Here is an 18,946-nt window from a genome sequence, read left to right on the forward strand (position 1 = left end):
TGGGGCAGGAGTTTGCAGGCAGAAGCTGTAGGCCTGTTGGAGGGTTTTAGGAGGAGAAAGACAGGATCAGATTTGTGATTTGAAAAGTGTCCCCGATGCAGAGTGGGATATGGGTCAGCAGAAGGAGGGTGTGGAGGCAGACTGGGACACTGGTTAGGAAACAGTAGTTCAGAACTCCAGAAACAAAAGGGAAGTTGTTTGTGAAAAGAAGTTCGTGCCTCTCAGCATTGTTAACAACCATACATGGTGATTCTAACTTGAATTTGTGTAGGATCAGTCATGAGACTTAGATTGTTTCCTGAACTCTGCTCTAGGGAAATGTAAAGTGGTTCTTCCTCTTGACTATCAATTAGCATGTTTTGACATAGACTTTCTTCCAGTGGGATTTAAAATCTGTGTTCTTTAGTTGAATCAATAGGCTTGAACATTACCATCCTGGACTGTCTGGGGGAGAGGATGTTTTTGAAGAGTCTCAGGAGCAAATGGGCCATGAAAGGCCAAATTGACTGTTAATTCTAATTAAAAAGAGGAAGCTGCTACAGCATAATGAGTGTGGACAGTTAATTAGCAGGTAAGAAAACACAATTAAAGTCTCTCAGAACAAACCTACAGTGATGTGTTCTGTTTGGTGGTGAGTTAAGCACACTCAGATGACCTGTTTCTAAGCTTGGTGAGGAGTTTCTGTTTCAATAGAGACGGAGGTCAGCAGTCTTGCTGGTAGGTTCTCATGGGCGCATTTTAACATTCTTCCTTTTTGGATGAGCATGGTGCTGGGAGGGGGTGTTGAAATAGAAAAGCAAGAGTGACTAGATAAAAGATGGTCGAGCTAGGAGGAACATCTCCCACCGAGAGACCGGGACATCAGGAAGACTGGCACACTCAAGCCACATCTTCAGAGAGAAGGCATTGAGAGTGGATAGAGGGAGGATACAGATGCTGGGCTGAAGCAGGGAAGTCTGGGAACCCTGCACGGGGCTGCTGAGCAATGGGACTTGTTTCCTGGCCCCCAGCGACTCCTGGGGAAGGGATGAGTTGAACAGGTGAGGAATGGCCCGCTCTCACCATGGACCTCCAGAATCCTAGCAGCAGGATACCCCACAACCCCCACAGACACTTGAGACGACAGGGAGAACTGCTTAGACAGGTGGCAGGGGCAGGACTCCAGCCTGTGTGTTGCCCAGAGGGTTTGGTGTGGGAACATCTGCAGTGAAGCATGGCCAGTGATGCCCATTCCCCAAGGCTTGCCATGCTCCTCTAGGAGTGTGACTGTCAGACCTGGACAGAGCAGGGTGGCCTTGCCTGTGGGATGAGGCCGGTACATTCTGAATGCCCCCCATCTGCTGGACTCTCTTGGGGCCCCAGCCTGGTTGTGCCCAGAGGGCAGTATCAGATGCCCAACCAGGGTGCTTCCCTGGGACCCTCTTCATGGCTTCTTTGCCAGCAGACCATGTCAGACCATCGAAGAACTCTAGCAGACTGGCTCCCACTGGTGTGCACCAGCTCACCCACAGCCTCCCCTCACCGCAGCCTCCCTTCACTGGTGCACACTCATTCGTGCCCCACTCCCCCACCATCCCACATCGCTTTGCTGGTGCACTGTGAGTGGACCTTGCCTCCCTCTCTTCCAGCACATGTGTGTGCATTCATCACATAATGCCACCACTGCTGGCATGTGCGTACCCTGCTGTGCCCCCTACTGATACATGGGTACCCTACCATGCTGCCACTGCCAGCATGAATGCACAAATGGACACTGGCAACCCTGCCCCTGCCAGTGCCCCACCCCCACTGGTGCAAGGGCTAGCACAGGTGCTGGCAACCCCACCCCCACCAGTGTCCCACCCCTGCTGTGCTGCTGCCATTCATCACTGGTGCAGCTATATGCAGGAACACCACCACCCAACTCCTGCTGGTGCCCCACCCCAGGCAATGCACGTGCACCCCACTGCACTGTTGCAGCTGCTGGCACACTTGAGCGAGCATGGATCCCACTGCCGAAGTGCTTTGGCTGGCACACCCATCGAAGTGTTGTGGTCATTGGGCTGGGAACACCTCGGCCCATTCAGCGTAGCAGGTTCCTAACCTTGAGGGGCCAGAGAACAAATCTAGGGGCCCAATGTCAGTCCCCCAGAGCCAGAGCATGAAACCCAGGAGTGCTGAGCTGAGCGTTGGCTCCCTAAAATCTTCCTGAAATGAAGACAGTCAACTGAACCCACCTCATGCTGCAATCAAACCCTCAAGGGCATCAAAGAAGATAAAAGCAAAAAACCCTATCTAAAGGTCAGTAGCCTCAAAGATTGTAGGATCATCAGTCAACACAGATGAGAAAGAACCAGTGCAAGAACTCTGGCAACTCAAAAAGCCAGAGTATCTTTTTATCTCCAAATGACCACACTAATTCCCCAGCAATGGTTCTTAACCATAGTGAAATGACTGAAATGACAGACATAGAATTCAGAATATGGATAGGAATGAAGATCACTGAGATTTGGGAGAGTCAAAACCCCCAAGGAATCTAAGGAATTCAATAAAACAATACAGGAGGTGAAAGACGAAATGGCCATTTTAAGAAAAAACCAAACTTATCTGATAGAGCTGAAAAACTCACTTCAAGAATGCATAATATAATCACAAGTACTAGCAGCAGAATAGCCTAGGATGAAGAAAAAATCTCAGAGCTTGAAGACTGGTTCTCAGAAATAATTCAGTCAACAAAAATAAAGAAAAAAGAATAAAAAGAATGAACAAAATCTCTGAGCAATATGAGATTATGTAAAGAGAGCAAATCTATGACTCACTGGTGTCTCTGAAAGCAAGGGAGAGAAAGCAAGCAACTTGGAAAACATATTTGAGGATATTGTCCATGAAAATTTCCTTCAGGAAATGCAGGGAACCCCTGTGAGATACTATATAAGATGAACATCCCCAAGATACATAGTCCGTCAGATTCTCCAAGGTCAAAATGAAAGAAAAAATGTTAAAGGCAGCTAGAGAGAAGAGGCAGGACACCAACAAAGTGAACCCCGTCAGGCTAACAGTGGATGTTTCAGCAGAAACCCTATAAGCCAGAAGATACTGGGGGCCTATATCCAGTATTCTTTTTTTTTTTTTTTTGAGACGGAGTCTCGCTCTGTCGCCCAGGCCGGACTGCGGACTGCAGTGGCGCAATCTCGGCTCACTGCAAGCTCCGCTTCCCGGGTTCACGCCATTCTCCTGCCTCAGCCTCCCGAGTAGCTGGGACTACAGGCGCCCGCCACCGCGCCCGGCTAATTTTTTGTATTTTTAGTAGAGACGGGGTTTCACCTTGTTAGCCAGGATGGTCTCGATCTCCTGACCTCATGATCCACCCGCCTCGGCCTCCCAAAGTGCTGGGATTACAGGCATGAGCCACCGCGCCCGGCCTCCAGTATTCTTAAAGAAAAGAAATTCCAATCAAGAATTTTGTAGCCAGTCAAACTAAGCTTCATAAACAAAGGAGAAATAAGATGCTTTTCAGATAAGCAAGTGCTAAGGGAATTCATTACCACCAGATCTGCCATATAAAAGTTCCTGAAGGGAGTGCTAAATTTGGAAAGGAAAGACCATTACTGGCCACTACAAAAACACACTTAAGTACACAGACCAGTGACACTATAAAACAACTACACAATCAAGTCTGCATAATAACCAGTTAACAATATGATGACAGAATCAAATCTGCACATACCAGTATTAACCTTGAATGTAAATGGGCAAAATGCCCCAATTAAAAGGCACAGAGGCCAGGTGTGGTGGCTCATGCTTGTAATCCCAGCACTTTGGGAGGCCAAGGTGTGCGGATCACTTAAGGTCAGCCTGGCTAACATGGTGATACCCCATTTCTACTAAAATACAAAAATTAGCTGGATGTGGTGGTGTGCACCTGTAATCCCAGCTACTCAGGAGGCTGAGGCAGGAGAATCACTTGAACCTGGGAGGCAGAGATTGCAGTGAGCCGAGATTGTGCCACTGCACTCCAGCCTGGGCAACAGAGTGAAACTCCCTCTCAAAAAAAAAAAAAAAAAAGGCACAGAGTGACAAGCTTGATAAAGAAGCCAGACCCAACTATATGCTGTCTTCAAGACACCCATCTCACATTCAGTGACACCCGTAGACTCAAAGTAAAAGGATAGAGAAAAATTTACCAAGCGAATGGAAAACAGAAAAAAATCAGGGGGTTGCTATTCTAATTTCAGACAAAACAGATTTTAAACCAACAAAAATAAATAACACAAAGAAGTGCATTACATAATGATAAATGACTCAATTCAACAAGAATGCCTAACTATGCTAGATATATATGTACCCAACATGGAGTACCCAGATTCATAAAACAAGTTCTTAGAGACCTACAAGGAGACATAGGTAACCACACAATAATAGCAGGAGATGTCAACACCCCACTGACAGTATCAGACAGATGATCAGGGCAGAAAACCAGCAAAGATATTTGGGACCTGAACTTAACACTGACCAAATGAACCTGACAGACATCTACTGAATTCTCTACCCAAAAACAACAGAATAGACATTCTTCTCATTTGCACATACTCCAAAATTGACCACACAATTGGCCATAAAACAATATTCAGCAAATTGACAAAAAAATAAAATTATACCAACCACACCCTTGGAACACAGTGCAATAAAAATAGAAATCTTTACTAAGAAGATCACTGAAAACCATACAATTACATGAAAATTAAACAACATGCTCCTGAATGACTTTTGGGTGAATGATGAAATTAAGGCAAAAATAAAGAAATTGATTGAAATTAATGAGAACAAATATATAACATACCAGAATCTCTGGGACACAGCTAAAACAGTGTTAAAAAAAAAAGTTCACAGTGCTAAATGCCCACATCAAAAAGTTAGAAAGATCTCAAATTAACAACCTAACATCACACCTAGAGGAATTAGCAAACCAATCCCAAAGCTAGCAGAAGATAAGAAATAACCAAAATCAGAGCTGAACTGAAAGAAATTGAGACACACACACAAAAAATACAAAATATCAATGAATTCAAGAGTTGATTTTTTTAAAGAATAAATAAGACTGATAGGCCACTATCTAAACTAATTAAAAAAGAGAGAAAATTCAAATACACAATCAGAAGTGACAAAGAGACATTATCACTGACCCCACAGAAATACAAAAAGCCCTCAGAGACTATTATGAACACTGAGAAGAAACTGATAAATTCCTGGAAATATACAACCTCCCAAGATTGAACAAGGAAGAAACTGGAACCCTGAACAGACCAATAACAAGTTCTGAAACTGAATTGGCAGTTAAAAGCCTACCAACCAGGAAAAGCTCAGGAACAGATGGATTCACAACTGAATTCTACCAGATGCATAAAGAAGAGCTGGTACTATTCCTACCAAAACTATTCCAAAAAATTGAGAAGGATGGAATCCCCTTCAACTCATCCTATGAGGCCAGCATGATCCTGATACCAAAACCTGGCAGAGACACATACATACACAAAATAAAACTTCAGGCCAATATCCTTGATGAATATAGATGCAAAAATCCTCAACAAAATCCTAGCAAACCAAATCCAGCAGCACATCCAATAGCTTATCCACTATGAGGAAGTAGGCTTTATCCCTGGGATGTAAGATTCCTTTGACATATACAAATCAATAGATGTGACTCATCACATAAACAAAAGTAAAAACAGAAATTACATGATCATGTCAATAGATGCAGAAACGGCTCTGATAAAACTAATATCCCTTCATGTTAAAAACCCTCCACAACTTGGCATTGAAGGAACATACCCCAAAATAATAACAGCCATCTATGACAGACCCAGAGCCAACATCATACTGAGTGGGCAAAAGCTGGAAACATCCCCCTTGAGAACTAGAACCAGATAAGGCTGCCCACTCTTACCACTCCTATTCAACATAGTACTGGAAGTCCCAACTGGAACAATCAGGCAAGAGAAAGAAATAAAAGATGTCCAAATAGGAAGAGAAAAAGTCAAACTATCTCTGTTTGCAGACAATATAATTTTATACTTAGAAAACCCCATAGTCTCTGCCAAAAAGCTTCGTGATCTGATAAACAACTTTAACAAAGTTTCAAGATACAAAATTAATGCACTAAAACCAGTAGCATTTCTGTACACCAACAACATCCAAGCTGAGCACAAGATCAAGAATTCAGTCCCATTAACAATAACCACACAAGCATACAAAATAAAATTCCTAGGAATAGAGCTAACCAGGGAGGCGAAAGATCCCTACAATGAAAATTACAAAACACTGCTGAAAGAAATCAGAGATGACACAAACAAATAGAAAAACATTCCATGCTTATGATAGGAAAAATCAGTATTGTTAAAATGGTCATAGTGCCCAAAGCAATTTACAGATTCAATGCAATTCATGTCAAACTATCAATGACATCCTTCACAGAATTAGAAAAAACTATTATAAAATTAATATAAAACCCAAAAAGAGCCCACATAGCCCAGATCCTAAGCAAAAAGAACAAAGCAGGAGACAACATGGTACCTGACTTCAAACTATACTACAAGGCTACAGTAACCAAAACAGCATGGTAGTGGTACAAAAACAGACACATATACCAATGGAACAGAAAAGAGAGTCCAGAAAAAAGGCCACCTACCTACAACCATCTGATCTTCAACAAGCTGACAAAAACAAGCAATGGGGAAAGGACTTCCTGTGCAATAAATGGTGCTGGGATAATTGGGGAACTATATGCAGAAGACTGAAACTGGACCTCTTCCTTACACAACGTACAAAAATCAACTCAATATGGATCAAAGACTTAAATGTAAAAACCTAAATCTATAAAAACCCTGGATGAAAACTTAGGAAATATCCATTCTGGACATAGGCCCTGGCACAGATTTTATGACAAAGACGCCAAAAGCCATTGCAACAAAAACAAAAATTGACTAATGGAACCTAATTAAACTAAAGAGCTTCTGCACAGCAAAAGAAACTATAAACAGAGTAAACATACAACCCAGAGTATGGGAGAAAATATTTGCAAACTATGCATCTGACAAAGGTCTAATATCCAGAACCTGTAAGGAACTTAAGCAAATCAACAAGCAAAAAGCAAATAACCCCATTTAAAAATGGGCAAAGGACATGAACAGACACTTTTTAAAAGAAGACATACACGCAACCAACAATAATAATAAAAAATGCTCAATATCGGTAATCATTAGAGAAATGCAAATCAAAACCACAATGAGATATCATCTCACATCAGTCAGAATGGCTATTCTTAAAAAGTAAAAAAATAACAGATGCTGGCAAGGTTGCAGAGAAAAGAGAAAGCTTATATACTGTTGGTGGGAATGTGTTAGTTCAGCCACTGTGGAAGCAGTTTGGCAATTTCTCGAAGAACTTAAAACAGAAATACCATGTGATCCAGCAGTCCCATTATTGGGTACACACTCAAAGGAATATAAATTGTTCTACCATAAAGACAGATGCATGTGTATGTTCATTGCAGCAACTATTCACAATAGCAAAGACATAGAGTCAACATAAATGCCCATTAACAGTAGACTGGATAAAGAAAATGTGGTACATATACACCATGGAATACTATGCAGCCATAAAAAAGAAAAAGATCACGTCTTTTGCAGCAACATGGATGGAGCTGGAGGCCATTATCCTAAGTCAACTAATATAGAAACAGAAAACCAAATACCACATGTTCTCAATTATAAGTGGGAGCTAAACATTGAGCACACATGGACACAAGGGAACAATGACACTGTGGCCTACTTGAGGGTGAGGGATGGGAGGAGGGTGAGGACTGAAAAAACAGGTACTATACTATGCTTATTACCTGGGTGATGAAATAATCTGTATATCAAACTCCTGTAACATGCAATTTACCTATATATCAAACCTGCACATGTACCCCTGAAACGAAAAGTTAAAAAAAGAAAAAAGCGTTCTCTGTATGGGTGCTGGAGTTATAAGGCTGCCTGAAATAGGGTAAAAGGATCCAGGGGACATAGCTCAGAACCTGGGTTCCCACTCATTCCTGTGATTTGAGGCCATCGCACCCTCAGTCTAGGTCTTGGTTTTCCCAGCTGCAGAGCATTTGTTTGTTCATTCAGTGAACAAAAAGTACTGAGTTCCTGCTTGGAGGGGGCGCAGGGTTGGATACTGAAGATAGAGCCCGGAAGGAGCCACAGTCCCTGGGCCAGACAGTGTCTCAAATCCTGTGCAGTTCTGTTGTTCTCCGGCTCAGACCCTGGAATGCTGGGGCAGATGTGGATGACTGGTTCTTTACTCCATCTTCCCTCACCATCTCAGGCTGTCCCACATCCACCTGCCGGCTGGCATCCCTGGCAGAGGCTTTTGTTGGCTTTTCACAAGCCAGAAGGGCTGTGGAACTGACAGAGCTTCTCTCCAGGGTGGACTGAAGAGAGCTGATGCCCTAATGCTTCCTGTGAGATGATGCAGTTGTCTTCCCCCACAGTCTCCCAGAGTTCCCCAGAGAATCACACTGCAGGTGCCCACAGCAGGAACTTGCCCTGAAATGCACTCCATGGCTGCCTGCCTGGCCCTGCCTGACTCAGTGCCCACTCCCTCCTGATGTCTCCTGGGATCACCCCCCAAACAGACTGCCTTCACTGGAATCTGTGTCTTAGGGTCTCTTGGAGAAACACTTCCCAGCTTTTCAAAGTCCTGCTATCCCCTCCACTGAAGCCTACTCTGGCATGCCCTTTACTGAACTCCTATTGGTTTCTAATCTACACTGCCACGGTACCTAGGGGAACAAACTTATTGTCCCAGCTTTAAAAATAGGATGTCCCATGTCTCAGAAACCCCTTCAGAGTCAGCAAATCAGAGCAGTTGGTCACTCTAATAGTATCACAATTTAATTATTTCTTGATTACCTAAAAGGGTTTATTGTATTATGATATGGGGAGAAAGAACATACTGAGTTGTAAATGGTTCTGAGACACTAAATTGATCTGCATAGGGAAGCACTGAGTAGAAAGAGGGGAGGTGAAAGATGGAAAGGTACAGAGGTTCAAATATGAAGTAGACCTGGGGGCATGGAGTGGGCAGGAGCTGGACTTTGGCGGTAGCTTGATACTTTAGCAATGCTGAGGTTAATTGATGCTGTGAACGCATTTCAACATTAGTGTCTTTGTGACTGTCTAGGGTTCTCTTTGTTAATGGACTGATGTTTCCATGCATGCACTTTATCAAGGCTGCTATGGTGGAAAGGGGTGGCATTTCCATGTTTATCAGGGTTTTTCCTTTGCATTCCCTTCATTCTCCCTCATAAAAGTCCTTGAGTGTGGCACTGTCCATTTTATTGATGAGTAGAGACACTATGCTGTTTACTTTCCAAAATCAGACATTTTGAGAGTGTAAGGGGGGATGGTATTAATAGTCACGTCAGGATGTCAGGCATAATCTGAGAGTGTCCCCGGCAAACTACTGATGAGGGCACAAGGTAAAAACTCTTAGCTAAGGTCCCACAGCTAGTAAGGCAGAGGCAGAGGTGGAATGATGGTTAATATTGAGTGTCAACTTGATTGGATTGAAGGATGCAAAGTATTGTTCCTGGGTGTGTCCGTGAGGGTGTTGCCAAAGGAGATTAACATTTGAGTCAGTGGACTGGGAGAGGCAGACCCACCCTCCATCTGGTTGGGCACCATCTAATCAGGTGCCAGTGCTGCTAGAATAAAGCAGGCAGGAGAAGATGGAAGCACTGACTTGCTGAGTCTTCCAGCCTTCATCTTTCTCCTGGGCTGGATGCTTCCTGCCCTTGAACATCAGACTCCGAGCTCTTCAGCTTTTGGACTCTTGGACTTACACCAGTGGTTTGCCAGGGACTCTCGGGTCTTTGGCCACTGACTGAAGGGTGCACTGTCGGCTTCCCTATTTTTGAGGTTTTGGACTTGAACTGATCCACCACTGGCTTCCTTGTGCCTCAACTTGCAAATGGTCTATCGTGGGACTTTACTTTGTGATCATGTGAGTCAATTCTCCTTAATAAACTTGTTTTCATATATACATCTATCCTATTAGCTTTGTCCCTCTAAAGAACCCTATTATAGGTGGGATTTGAAGCCAGGTCTATTGGGCTGTCCACGGGGTCCTCTCCGTCAAGGTGAACACCTTAAACAAACACATCTACCATGTGCTGACCACCTACAGTGTGGCCTTCCATGCAGAGCTATATTGACTGGTAAGACTCTTTCTAGGTAGGTGGTCTTATCTCCAATTTACAAATGAGGAAACTAAGGCCCAGAAAGATGGATTGCCTAAAGTCATTCACCTAATTTGTGGTAGAGATAGAAATTGATAAATGGTTTTTCTCCTATACCAGCCATGAGGCCAAGTGAGGGAGCATAGAGACTGAAGCCCTTGTTCAGATTAAAACAGGAGATCCTGAGGGTGACAGAACAGGTGAAGTGAGGTCTGCTTTAAGCACTCTGTGCACAAGTGACCTCATCAGCCTTTGCTACTGTTTCTGACTTCTCTTGGAAGTTTCTTCCAGTGAAAAGTGAGCTTATTTTTCTTTTCCAGGTGTCTTCCTCCAACTTGCACAGCCTGCAGCTCCTATTGCTGTCACATATATTAATGCTGATATCAAAGCCCCTGCTGGAAGTCAGGGAGCGCCTGCTCTCTTTGCAGAACCGGCAGCCCCAGGTGTGCTATCTTTCCCCAGTTGGCTGTGACAAGCGGCCTCTGCAAGGCCGAACCATTTCCAGATCCAAAAGCTGAATACCCCTTGGCTGCACTCAGCCCCCAGCTCCTGAGGGTGTGGAGAGCAAAAACCTTCCTGCTGAGCCCTGACAGCTGCTCAGTCTGGGCCCCTTTCCACAGCCTGGCTTCTTCCTGCCAGGAGAAATTCATCTTTTCACAGCAGAGGGAGTGAGAACAGCCCGCAGTTCCTGTTGGATGGCACCTGCTATCTCTCTGCCCCCTGGGTAGTACCAGGCGTTCTCTGTGGGAAATGCCCTTCCTCCTCCTTCTCCTCCCTCCCTGTCTGCCTGAAAAATGACTCAACTTTTTCAATTCACTGCACATCACTACCTCTTCCCTGCCTTCGAGGCTGTTGGGGTCTTCCTCTGTTCCCACAGCCCCTGCCCAGCCATCTGGCACAGCCTCCTGCACACAGAAGGACACTACTTGTCATCCTTATGGATTCATGAGTGGTGAAGCGACAGACCTGGCACAGATGAGGTACTTTGTGAGGGTGTTGAACGAAGATGGGGAGATGAATGGATGGGTGTGGGAACACATGAACAGGAGTATTTAGAAATGAATTAACGACTGACCCAGTAAACAAACGAACAGGTGAAGGAACAAGAACTGATGAGCTGAAACCCTGCCTTCCCCAGGACAGGACTGACTTTGAACTTGGCTTCAAGACTCATTCATTTCGTCCCTTTAGGAGTGACGTTGTCCCTTTCAGGGCCCCACCTTTCCCATCTAGGGCTGGACTTCAGGCCAGCCTGGCTCCCTTGTGCACCTCAATTGATGGGCAACTCATTCCTTTTTGACAGAGAGTCCAGTTTTCTGATGGAGCCCAAATATGAGTATCGATTGTCTCCCAGGCCCCTGATCAGATATCACAACCCCGGGAAGTCCTCCCTGAAGCCTGAGGCTGGTGCATGCATCTTCGGAGCTGCGATCATGAATGCTGAATGACACACGGGGCCTTTGTACCAGCTGCTCCTCTGCCTGGATTGCTCATGCGCAGATGTGTGCGTGGCTGCCTCCTTCTTGTCTCCTGATCTCTGCTCCATGATCAACTCTGTGGAGAGGCCTTCCCTGGCTACCCTAAGATAGCATTTTCTCCATCATTCTCCTCCTCATTTTGCATGACTTCTCTTCTGAGCACTTATTGCTACACGTATTAGTCTGTTCTCCCATTGCTATAAAGAAATACCTGAGACTGGTAATTTATATTAAAAAAGAGGTTTAATTGGCTCACGGTTCCAACAGGTTGTACAGGAAGCATGATGCTGGCATCTACTCAGCTTCTGCGGAGGTCTCAGGAATCTTCCAATCACGGTGGAAGGCAAAGGAGAAGTGAGGTGTCTCACATGATGGCAGCAGGAACAAAATAGAGGGTGGGGAGGTACCACACACTTTTAAACGATGGGATCTCATCGTTTAAAATGATGATAGTGAGAACTCACTATCACAAGGACAGTACAGGGGGGATGGTGCTAAACCATTCATGAGAAATCCAACCCCATGATCCAATCACCTCCCACCATGCCCCACCTCCAACACTGGGGATTACAATTCAACATGAGATTTGGTGGGGACACAACTCCAAACCATATAATTACATTATATTTTCATGTGTTTACAATAAGCCTCCCTCAACAGAATGTCCATTCCTTGAGGGCAGGGATTTTGTTTGTTTGTTTTGCTCCATGCACTGCTCCAATTTCTACATTATCTGCCATATAGGGGCTCCTCTTGGCATATGGGGCCTCTATACCAATAGTTTCTGGTATAGGGGCTCAATAAATATGGATAAGTGAATGAATGAATGAATGAATGAATGAATGAATCTGGCTGTGTCCTCATCCGGAGAGTCTTATTCATCTTTGCATCCCCTGGGTCTAGTATGGAACCAAGTATGTCGTAGGTGCTTAAAAACTACTTGCTGAATTAATGATTAAAGTACAGACACATCTTTCACATTTTGATCAAATCCTTCCTCTGCTTCAAATCTCCAATGGCTTCCCATGGTATTGAAAGTAAAATTCCTGATTCCTTACCACGGAGTTATGAGATCTTCTATCCTCCGGCCCCTACTATCCTTCCAACTTCATCTCTTTCCTTTGCTAATATGGAACATCATAATATTCCACCCCAAAACACGAAGAACTGTTGAGCTGAAGGCATGTAAAAAGAAGTAGATGCAGGAAGGCTCTCTGCCTTCCCTCTATTTGCCTAAAAGCAGGACATAGATTTACAAAGACAAGAGATATTCTGCTCCCACCCTCTTCTGCCAGGGAGAACAAAGGGTAACCAGTGAAGACAACTTTGGATGCTTATAGGTCTGGAGCTTACACCAGAGGAACCTACATGAACCAGTTTCCCTAACCCACCTCGATCTGCTATTTATTTGTTTTCCCCCAAGTTGCTGTCACTAGAGACTCAACGTTCTTTTCCTTTGTCTTGTTGCTTCTTTCAACATTTACTGTTCTTTCTCGAAGCTGGAATTTAAAGCCACTTCTTTGAGCACTACTCATTCCCTGGGTGTCTCCCATGTATGTGTGAAATATACATGTTAATAAACTTCTGTATTTTTTTTCTTGTGTTAGTCTGTCTTTTGTTACAGGGGTCTGTTTCAACTAAGGACCTATGAGGGTTGAAGAAAATATGTTTTTTATCCCCTATGCTAACAACACTGCAGCCTTTCCTGAGCCTTCCAAGCGAGTTCCTGCCTCAGGACCTTTGCACATTCTTCCCCTACATCCTCACAGGGTGGCTTCCTTCTCAGACCCAAGTCCTGCCTGCAGCGCTAGCTTCTCACGGAGGCCCTTCCTGTCCATATCACAAAAGCAGTCCTCTCCTCCCATCACCCTAGCCCCTTACCCTGTTTATTCCTTCCTAGCACTGGTCAGTAATCCTCAATATTTATTAGCTTACCAGTAATGGCTCTATAAATATACATTTGTAGTGGCCTGTGTCATTCGCTGGGGTATCTCCTGTGCCTGGATCAACATAAGAAGTGCTTGATTAATACTTTTAATTAACAAATGCTCTTGCCTATCAACCTTGCTTTTCCAGCTCCTTTCTATTGCATTGGACAATAAAGCACAATGAATGTGCCCCGCCCAGGGAGGCCAACTGTTATCAGTGTACATGTCTTCTTGATTGGATTATGAGCTTGACGGGGACCGAGAAATGTCTCTGACTCTACTTCTGTGTCATCAGTACAGAGTGTAGTACCTGATACATAGTATGTGTTCAAAAATTTTTTTTGTTTTGAGACAGGGCCTTACTCTGTCACCCGGGCTGGAGTGCAGTGGCATGAACATGGCTCACTCTAACCTCGATCTCCTGGGCTCAAGCCATCCTCCCACCTCAGCCTCCCAAGTAGCTGGGACTACAGGCATGTGCCACCATGCCTGGCTAATTTTTAAATTTTTTGTAGAGATGAGGTCTTGCTACATTGCCTAGGTTGGTCTTGAACTCATGAGCTCAAGAAATCCTTCTGCTTCAGCCTCCCAAAGTATCGGAGCCACTGTGCCCAGCTAAAATCTTTTGTTGAATGAATTAATTTGGGGCATGACTGAGAATATATAAAAGGGGAAAAATGACTGTGAATGATCAGCATATATTTCAGAAAATCCTGCATTAAAGCACATGCATTAGTTTCCTCATTAAGACAGCCTCCCCATAGGCCCTCTTAAGGCATAATTCTGACAAGCTTGATTTTATATTTTAATCTATATTTTGTTTCAATAAAGAAGTTGGGCATGCAAAGGGAAGCACCTAAGGGGTGAGAGAATGCATGTCCGCTGACCACTCTTTTGCTCGCTAGACCTGATGAATGAGACTTCACAGTGGGGTGAGAATTTCCATCAGAGGCTATGTGGGAACAAGAGTGACTTTACTTTAAATGCTAATCCACCATGTAACTTCTGACTAACCCCACGTCCAGGAATGCCTCCAAGAAGTCGAGTTGATGTATTGCTCTTTATGTAGAAACATCTATTCACTGTAAGTTTCCTCCAAAACAACTCTTGATGCTGTTGCAGAAATCAAAGACTGTGATGCCTGCAGCCACCTACACATTCCTCCCAGAGTGCATACACTTTTTCCCCAGATCTAGGCCCTGGGACTGGGGGGTTGCCATACAGAGATCTACCTGTCTTGTGGCTTCCCAAGACCATGCTTCAGTCTGCAAGTTCCCCTAACAAATCACCCTATACCATCAGACTGGACTTGTCTGCCCCTTTCTTTGGTTTCTTGGCTTCTTCTTTGCCATTTGGGGATTGCTTTGTGTACACAGCCATTTCAAGAAACAGGCTGCCACTGTCTTAGAAAAACAACCCCTGGCACATCCAGTGTGATGCCCTCTCAGAACCAGTTTTCTTCTGGAAGGCTGGTTTGATTTAGCCAAGACACTCATGTCCCCAAAGCTTCTTGACAGCAGAAGTGACCTCCTGCAAGTGCCCAGAGCTGTAGAGCTGGAGGGGAGCTGCCCCAAACAGCCTTCTGCTCTCCAAGGGCGATTCCATCAGGGTTAGTTTCCCTAAGACAGAAGGCAGAACCACAGCTTAGGGAAATTCTTATCATAGTCGCCATTTCTTGAGTGCTTTCTATGAGTTGGAACTTTATTGTCCACCTTTCAGAGATTTGTTTTAAACTCAGACCCTGCAAACTGTGCATCATCTTCATACTATAGATGGGACCTGGCTTAAGGTCACACAGCTGTTAAGCAGGGTCCCAGCTCTCCAAACCCAAGCCTGGAAGAGTACAAATTCTGCAGCTTCTCTACAAGCTATCCATCTGGGAAGCATAAAAGAGAGAAAATGCCATTTCATATTTCCATTTTCTTCCTGTCCTTGTATACTTAGAGCATAAAGGATGCTGTGGTAGACAGAATATAACCCCAAACCCTGTGCCTGTGTTGTCTCGCATGGCAAAAGGGGTTTTGCAGATGTGGTTAAGTCGAGGATCTTCAGATAGGGAGATTATCCTTGATTATTCTGGTGCCTTGGGCATGGTGCCTTGGCCAGGTCTTGGCTGGAAGCCAGGAGAAAGGTTGGAGTACCACCTGCTTCCACCTCTTCTGAGCTGTGAGCATGAACACTTGAGTACCCCACTTTTTGACTCACAACCCACAAGGTTTGAGACCAACTTGCCCCAAATCACACATTAAGAAGGAGGTGGAGCCAGACTGGTCTGAGTCCCAAGCCTATGCTTCTTCCAAAACACCAGGTTAGAACAGCGGTTCATAGCCAGGAGTGATTTTGCCCCCAGGGAACATTTGGCAATGTCTGGAGACATTTTTGGCTATTACAGCTAAAGGTAGGTGCACCTATCAGCTAATGTGCAGAAGCCAAGAATGCTGCTCAACATCAGACCATGCGCGGGAGAGCCCCCAACAACAAAATACTTTCCAGTTCCAAATGCCAGAAGTGCTGAAGTCGAGAGACCCTGTCATAGATTTTTCTCTAGTAAGTCATGTAATGGCATCATTAAACTATCACGTGCTCATCCTTTTGGTGGGTTTGTGAACAAAACAAATTTGTATGAGACCATTTATCATTTCTTTCTAGAACTCTGAATTTATAATTTATATTGTTACAGAGTACATTTAAATCTGCCTTAATAAAGGCAAGGAGGCAAAGAAGGAAATTCAAACTCACTAAGCACCTTCTGTGTACCAGGCACCATACATATCGCTTAGCAGTCTTTATATAGTTCTTCTTGCATAATAGCTCTCAAGGTGGAGGCTTAGGGAGGCTGGTGACTTTCCAAAGACATCACACATGGCTGGAGGTGTAGCCTGTGTCTGACCCAAGCTCATGTCTTTCTCTCGATGCCACATGGCAGGGCTGGGTTTCCCACCCTTTCCAGGACATAAAGGAAGGGAGTGGGCAGGAGCTGGTTTTGTTAGACGGTCTTTGAAGATTTGCCACAATTGGATTGATGAGACAGCCCAAGGTCCCTGCAGGAACACTGGTTTGCAGGAATCTGGCCCCGGGGCCCATGATTTGCCATTTTGGCAAACAGAGCATTTCAAAGCATATGGCTCCCAGACGCAAGGATGTGATACAGAGAAGTGAGGCACAGCCGAGCACTTCACCCAGGACCCCTCTGCCTCCAGGTAGTGGTTTCATTCCTCAAGCCATTCAGGAGGGCAAGGAGGGACTTGTGGCATGGGGGAAAGGGCCCCAGTCCTTGCTTTGATACTGACTGCAATATGCAGGGCCCGTTACTTATTCCCCAGCTTTCTCATCTGTAAAATGGGTGCACTGATCCAACAGAATGGATATGAACATGGATGCTAATTACTATTGTATTATTATTATACCATTATTATTATTAATATTATTATTATTATTATTGAAAGATCTGGCTCAGGGCAGCTCCCCTCTGTTGAGAACACTCTGGGCACACCTCCTCCAATATGTTAATCCACACAACAGCCCATGTGATCATTTGAAATAGAATTGAGATGAAGTCTGTCCTCTGATGCAAACCCGCCAAGCGTTTCCCATTGCATTTGAAATCCAGCTGCTGAACTGACCAAGCTCTGTGGCCATGGAGTTTGCTTCCTTCCTGCTCTCTTAGTTTTCCTTCACTTTGACCCTGTTGATTCCATTCCAGTCACACGTGCCTCCTTGTTCTTTCTACAACTGCCCAGTATTCACGCTCATGTCAGTGACAACCCGAGAACTGGGGAAGGAAGATGGGGCTGAGACCTGGGATCCCAGGCAAAATGGCACATCCATGGATACGGGGACGATGCTGCCATTACTCCTCCTAAGGCAGGAGCTGTGAGGAAAGCAGTGGCAGCCAGCACCTTGGACGTACTCCCCATCCATGCGTGTGAGCTGCATCTAACTCGCTTCATGTATGTTGTCTCCTCACAGCACCTAGCACCCATTTTACATGTGGGTAAACTGATGCATGAGGGTGGGAACAGGCCAGCACCACTCTACTGGTTGCATGGAGAATTCCAACCATGGTGGGTGGACTCTGAGCTCACAGTCCTCCCCACTTCATGTTGGCTGTCTGGGAAAATCATCTTTTGTTCTTTACACATCCACTTTTGGAGCCTAGAATCTCCTGAATGCTGGTCACACTGCTCCCAATATGGGGAGACGAACAGTAGTCCTTCAAGAACTTTTTGTCAGCGTGAATCTTGCCTTTCCTCAGTTTAACAGAAAAACAATGGGCAGCGTGTGAATGCAATGGGCACTTTTCCATCCTAGCAGTTTATTTTTGACACCTCACAGAAGTGAATCATTGTCATGTAACTACATCTCATTTGCAAAAGTACAAATTGAAACAGAGTTAATGCCAATTCCCTCAGCTTCCATAAGAGCTTGGTAATTAAAGCTGCTAAAGAAGAAAGAAAGTAGACGCAGTGTTTCCTTCAAGGCCTGGTTCCGCTCCCCAACCCAGCCTGCACTCTCTGCAGCCATGTGGGTTTCTCATGTCAGCTGAGGCGGCTGGAGTAGAATGTCTCCCTTTCTTTCTCAACTAACTCTTGAGTTTCTTGTGAAAGGAGATAATGCAGGTAAAGTACTTAATTCCATGCTTGGCCCATAATAAGTACTCAATAAATAGTATTGGTGATAATGATGATAATGATGAAGAAGATGATGATGATTATTTTGACATTAGGAATGGAAGAGAAAGCGGAGAAGCAGGGAAGATTTCTGTAGAGATAGACGGGCGGCTATTGCTAAGCCATAAGCCCCTTTCCCTCGCCCCATCATGGGGAGTACAGGGGAGCCTCACTCAACCCAAGCCTGGGAAGAGGGACTCACACTACCCCCTGAGAGCTGGGGACACCGTGGATGGAGGTCTGACTGCCTGACTGCCTGGGAGAGAGATGGGCTAATGATCAACTGCTTAAAACGATGTAGGGGTTGAAATAATATTCCTGAGATCTAATGGACTGCCCCCCTATGCAGGGGACTAAACATTAAGCCTCTGCATGCTGATCCCATTCTGTGAACTGGTGGGAGTGAATTCACACATGCAACTCACATGCGTGCCCCCCCCACCCGAGGCCCTGGAATGCACTGCCCAGACACACTCAATTACAGGCCTCTGAGAACGTGCCTTGCACAGTCACACCTCGGCAATTCTGCCCATGCTGACTTCTCCACCAGGCGTGTCTTTAGCCTCTGTCAGCCTTGGAGCTGAAAGATCCCCAAGTGGTGGATTTGCG

General features: G+C 44.9%; 1 protein-coding gene across 22 annotated transcripts in view; it reads right to left on the reverse strand.

The window, feature by feature from the left end:
* The window catches only part of SLC2A9 (solute carrier family 2 member 9), a 269,246-nt gene that overhangs the window by 78,125 nt on the left and 172,175 nt on the right, over positions 1–18,946 (reverse strand). The gene's annotated exons all lie outside the window — the stretch shown is intronic.

Source organism: Homo sapiens, chromosome 4, assembly GCF_000001405.40.
Source record: "Homo sapiens chromosome 4, GRCh38.p14 Primary Assembly".
Classification (NCBI taxonomy): Eukaryota; Metazoa; Chordata; class Mammalia; order Primates; family Hominidae; genus Homo; species Homo sapiens.